Raw genomic sequence first — 6,274 nt, 5'->3', positions numbered from 1 at the left:
GGACTGTAGTCCCAGCTATTCGGGTGGCCGAGATGGCAGGATTGCTTGAGCTGGAGGTTGAGGCTGCAGTGAGCCATGATCGCACCACTGCCCTTCCAGCCTGGGCAGCAGAGCAGAGACCCTGCCTCAAAAAAAAAAAAAAAAAAAGGGCCAGGCGCGGTGGCTCACACCTGTAATCCCAGCACTTTGGGAGGCCGAGGCGGGCAGATCACGAGGTCAAGAGATCGAGACCATCCTGGCTGACAAGGTGAAACCCCATCTCTACTAAAAATACAAAAATTAGCCAGGCGTCTGTAGTCCCAGCTACTCGGGAGGCTGAGGCAGGAGAATGGGGTGAACCCGGGAGGCGGATCTTGCAGTGAGTAACGAGAGGACAATCTCTGTATTCAAAAAAAGCTAAAATTGGCCGGATGCGGTGGCTCACACATGTAATCCCAGCGTTTTGGGAGGCTGAGGGGGTGGATCACCTGAGGTTGGGAGTTCAAGGCCAGCCTGACCAACATGGAGAAACCCTGTCTCTACTAAAAACAAAAATTAGCCGGGCGTGGTGGCACATGCCTGTAATTCCAGTTACTCAGGAGGCTGAGGCAGGAGAATTGGTTGAACCCGGGAGGCAGAGGTTGTGGTGAGCCAAGATCACGCCATTGCACTCCAGCCTGGGCAACAAAAGCAAAACTCCATCTCAAAAAAAAAAAAAAAAAATTAGCTGGGTGTGGTAGCACATGCCTATAATCCTAGCTACTTAGGAGGCTGAGGCAGGAGAGTCACTTGAACCTGGGAGGCAAAGGTTGCAGTGAGCCAAGATTGTGCCTCTGCACTCCAGCCTGGGCAATAGAGTGAGACTCCGTCCCACACACACAAAAAGGGCCAGGTGCAGTGGCACACACCTGTAATCCCAACAATTTGGGAGGCCCAGTGGGGCGGATCACCTGAGATCCAGAGTTTGAGACCAGCCTAGCCAACATAGTGAAACCCTGTCTCTACCAAAAATACAAACTAGCTGAACGTGGTGGCACACACCTGTAATCCCAGCTACTTGGGAGGCTGAGGCAGGAGAATCGCTTGAGCCCAGGAGGCAGAGGTTGCAGTTAGCCAAGATCCCGCCATTGCACTCCAGCCTGGGCAAAAATAGCGAAACTCCATCTCAAAAAAAAAAAGTTTTCCATAAAATGTGACAGTGATTCTCATTTAGTCCCCAAACCAGGAGCATCCATATTAGCCTGGAACTTTGAAATGCATATTACTTCATCTCAGACCTACTGAATGACACAGGGGGTGGTTCAGCAATGTGTTTTCACAAGTCCTGCAGAAGAGTGTAAGAATTGCTAATCTTGGTGATAAAAAGTAAAGCTGGTTTTCCAAAGGGCGGAAGTAATGGGAATTGACTGGAAGAGCCCCAAAGGAATTTTTCTGGTGATAGAAATATTTTCTATCTTGATTGGGGGAATTGGCTAATCATTTATTTTATTTTATTTTATTTTTGACATAGTGTTTCTTGTTGCCCAGGCTGGAGTGCAATGGCTCGATCTTGGCTGACCGCAACCTCCGCCTCCCAGGTTCAAGTGATTCTCCTGCCTCAGCCTCCCGAGTAGCTGGGATTACAGGCATGTGCCACCACTCTCTGCTAATTTTTTGTATTTTTAGTAGAGACAGAGTTTCTCCCTGTTGGTCAGGCTAGTCTCGAACTCGACATCAGGTGATCCGCCCGCCTCGGCCTCCCAAAGTGCTGGGATTACAGGCGTGAGCCACCGCACCCGGCCTGGCTACTCATTTTTTAAAGCTCATTACAGTGTACACTCAAGATCTGTGCATTTCACTCTAAATTTTATTGCAAAGGAGAAAAAATGGTTAGTTTGGAAATTAAAGAGGAAATAGTTTGTGTCACATAACTCTACCCCTAATATTTCTGTACATGTCAGAGCTACAGATTGAAAGAAGTCTTGTTTATCTCCATGGTAGATGACAAGGAGGAGGACCACAATACATCAGGGGGTTTATAACACCAAGGAGGGTTCTAAAGAGGTAAACAGACTGGACAAGAATTCCTCCCCATTCCAGAAGTCATGCAGCTCTAACTAGAATGCAAAGGTTAAGAACTTTCTACATTCTGCTCTTCCTTCAAACTCCTGTTTCAGGCCGGGTGTGGTAGCTCACGCCTGTAATGATTCTCCTTCCTCAGCCTCCCAAGTAGCTGGGATTACAGGTACCTGCCACCACACGCAGCTATTTTTTTGTATTTTTAGTAGAGATGGGGTTTCACCGTGTTAGCCAGGATGGTCTCCATCTCCTGACCTCATAATCTGTCCGCCTTGGCCTCCCAAAATGCTGGGATTACAGGCATAAGCCACCGAACCTGGCCTTTTTTTTTTTTTTTGAAACGGAGTCTCACTCTGTCACCCTGGCTGGAATGCAGTGGCGAGGTCTTGGCTCATTGCAACCTCAGCCTCCCAGGTTCAAGCCATTCTCCTGTCTCAGCCTCCTGAGTAGCTGGGATTACAGGCATGTGCCACTGGGCCCGGCTTTTTTTTTTTCTTGAGATGGAGTCTTGCTCTGTTGCCCAAGCTGGAGTGCAATGGCGTGATCTCGGCTCACCACAACCTCCGCCTCCCGGGTTCAAGTGATTCTACTGATTCAGCCTCCTGAGTAGCTGGGACTACAGGTGCACACCACTAGGCCCAGCTAATTTTTGTATTTGTAGTACAGATGAGGTTTCACTATGTTGGCCAGGCTGGTGTCGAACTGACCTTGTGATCTGCCGGCCTTGGCCTCCCAAAGTGTTGGGATTACAAGCCTGAGCCACCTCGCCCAGCTAGTTTTTGTATTTTTAGTAGAGACGGGGTGCCACCATCTTGGCCAGGCTGGTCTTGATCTCCTGACCTCGTAATCCACCCACCTCGGCCTCCCAAAGTGCTGGGATTACAGGCTTTAGCCACCACGCCTGGCCCCAGTGATCTATTTTTCATTTTAATTATTTGGCTTTTCCGTGATGTTGTAAAAATGTAATGAGCCTGAGTTCTTTAATTTAACGTAATGTATTTGAGACTGATACATGTTTTTGCATGTATCATTAGTTTGCTCCTTTTCATTAATGAATAGTGCTATTCCATTTTGTGGAGGTACCACAGTTTGTGAACCCTTCACCACTTGAAGGATATTTGGTTATTTTTAGGTTTTGATGATTACAAATAAGTCTTCTATAAACCTCTCTGTAATTTGTTGTTTGAATATTGAAGTTTCACTCATTTGGGCTAAATACTCAAGGAAGGAGATTGCTGGGCCATATATTAAGTGTACATTTAGCTTGACAAGGCACTGCCAAACTGTTTTCCAAACTGACTGTGCCATACTGTATTTTCACTGAAATATATGAGATGCGGCTGGGCGCAGTGGCTCATGCCTGTAATCCCAGCACTTTGGGAGGCCGAGGCGGGTGGATCACCTGAGGTTGAGAGTTCAAGACCAGTCTGACCAACATGGAGAAACCCTGTCTCTACTAAAAATGCAAAATTAGCCAGTCGTAGTGGTGCATGCCTGTAATCCCAGCTACTAAGGAGGCTGAGCCAGGAGAATCGCTTGAACCTGGGAGATGGAGGTTGTGGTGAGCCGAGATCACGCCATTGCATTCCAGCCTAGGCAACAAGAATGAAACTCCGCCTCAAAAAAAAAAAAAAAAAAAAAAAACCCAACCAGAGTCGCTCCACTTTTATCTATTATATATTGGTGTTCCATAAACATCTATTTTTGTAGAACATATTTCTCTGGCCGGGCTTGGTGGCTCACGCCTGTAATCCCAGCACTTTGGGAGGCCGAGGTGGGCGGATCACGAGGTCAGAAGATCAAGACCATCCTGGCTAACATGGTGAAACCCCACCTCTACTAAAAATACAAAAAATTAGCCTGGGGTTGTGGCGGGCGCCTGTTAGTCCCAGCTACTCGGGAGGCTGAGGCAGGAGAATCGCTTGAACCCGGGAGGCGGAGCTTGCAGTGAGCCAAGATTGCGCCACTGCACTCCAGCCTGGGCGACAGAGCGAGACTCTGTCTCAAAAACAACAACAAAAAAAGAACATATTTCTCTGATTTAGAAAGTGTTAGCTGGGTGTGTTGCCATGAGCATGTTGTCCCAGCTATTGGGGAAGCTGAGGCAAGAGGATCACTTGAGCCCAGGAGTGAGAGGCTGCAGTGAGCCCTGATCATACCATTGCACCCGAGCCTGAGCAACAGAGTGAGATCCTATCTCAAAATAAACAAATAAATAAAAGCTATTTTGAAAAAAGGTAAGATTAAATTTAAAAAAATAAAAATGATTTTGAAAGCACTTATCTAAATGAGAAATACAATGCATTTTTATTTACCTTACAATACAGAAAATAAAGTATGTATTTGAATAAAGTAATGCATTTTTGTCGGGCGCGGTGGCTCACGCCTGTAATCCTAGCACTTTGGGAGGCCAAGACGGGCAGATTACCTGGGGTCAGGAGTTCAAGACCATCCTGGCCAACATGGTGAAACCCTGTCTCTACTAAAATACAAAAACTAGCTGGGCATCATGGCGGGTGCCTGTAATCCCAGCTACTTGGGAGGCTGAGATGGGAGAGTCTCTTGAACCTGGGAGATGGTGGTTGCAGTGAGCTGAGATGGCGCCACTGCACTCCAGCCTGGGCAGCTGAGTGAGACTCCTTCTCAAAAAATAAAAATTAAAAAAAAAAAGTAATGCATTTGTATTTCAGGACTATTGTCTATTATTGGAATAAATAAGAAAAAAGGTATTCAGAAAAGGTTTTTTTTTGTTTGTTTGTTTGTTTTTTTTGAGACAGAGTCTCTCTCTGTCCCCCAGGCTGGAGTGCAGTGGCCCGATCTCGACTCACTGCAAGCTCCGCTTGCTGGGTTCACACCATTCTCCTGCCTCAGCCTCCTGAGTAGCTGGGACTACAGGCGCCCACCACCACGCCCAGCTAATTTTTTGTATTTTTAGTAGAGACGGGGTTTCACCTTGTTAGCCAGGATGGTCTGGATCTCCTGACCTCGTGATCCGCCCGCCTCAGACTCCCAAAGTGCTGGGATTACAGGCGTGAGCCACTGTGCCCAGCTGAAAAGATTTTTTTGAAGGTTGTTTTTAATAGTTCAGCCCCCTGTTAGTGGCTACTTTTAAGCTTTGAAGTATACGTACACTAATTCCCAAACTAAAATTGGTGGTATCTGTTTTAGAGTTATTTTAGGGGCCTAATGAAGAGCCTTCTACGAACTGGACACTCTACTGAGCCCCATGGGAATAAGGATGTGTCTGAGAACTTCAGAGTGCCACAGTCTGGTAGAAATAGTCAAATTAGTCTGTGATAAGTATTTACACCAAATCCTTTACCAGCAGCAAAGAAACAGACATCTGCTATACAACAGAGTTGGGTGGGAAGGGGTAGAAATGTGGAGGTTCAGGCAATATTAATAACCCTAGCATTGGCCGGATGTGGTGGCTCACACATGTAATCCCAGCACTTTGGGAGGCCGAGGCAGGCGGATCACCTGAGGTCGGGAGTACGAGACTAGCCTAGCCAGCATGGTGAAACCCCATCTCTACTAAAAATACAAAATTAGTTGGGTGTGGTGGCAGGCGCCTGTAATCCCAGCTACTCGGGAAGCTGAGGCAGGAGAATCGCTTGAACCCGGGAGGCAGAGGTTGCAGTGAGTGAAGATCACACCATTGCACTCCAGCCTGGGCAACAGAGCGAGACTCCGTCTCAAAAAATAAAAAAAAAAAAATAGGCCAGGTGCGGTGGCTCAGGCTTGTAATCCCAGCACTTCGGGGGGCCGAGGTGGGTGGATGACGAGGTCAGGAGTTCGAGGCCAGCCTGGCCAACACAGTGAAACCCCGTCTCTACCAAAAATACAAAAATTATCTGGGCATGGTGGCAGGCACCTGTAACGCCAGCTATTCGGGAGGCTAAGGCATGAGAATCACTTGAACCCGGGAGGTGGAGTTTACAGTGAGCCGAGATCGTGCCACTGCACTCCACCCTGGGCGACAGAGCTAGACTCAATCTCGAGAAAACAACAACAACAAAAACCTCTAGTATTGATTGAGCTTCTCTTCTGAGCCAGAGTGCAAGGCTCTGAAAGGTGACTGAAACCAACCTGGCCATTGTTGTCATAGAACCTGCTAATTGAGGAGATGAAATTACCGTAAGATTCCAAATACATACAAAATTACAGATTCAAATGATTTTTTTTTGAAGGACTAGAATGACAGAATGACAAGAGGAATCTCTTTTAGGGTTACTCT

General features: G+C 47.1%; 1 annotated feature.

Annotated features, from left to right (window-relative positions):
• Window positions 514-1,014: an enhancer, noted in NCBI's record as "H3K4me1 hESC enhancer chr3:109043097-109043597 (GRCh37/hg19 assembly coordinates)". NCBI's record gives its function as "activates a minimal SCP1, AML or CMV promoter by ChIP-STARR-seq in primed H9 embryonic stem cells {active_cell/tissue: H9 hESC(primed)}" and the evidence as "EXISTENCE:reporter gene assay evidence [ECO:0000049][PMID:30033119]".

The sequence above is a fragment of the Homo sapiens genome, chromosome 3 (genome assembly GCF_000001405.40).
Source record: "Homo sapiens chromosome 3, GRCh38.p14 Primary Assembly".
In the NCBI taxonomy this organism is placed as follows: domain Eukaryota; kingdom Metazoa; phylum Chordata; class Mammalia; order Primates; family Hominidae; genus Homo; species Homo sapiens.
This window is presented reverse-complemented; position numbering and strand designations above follow the sequence as displayed.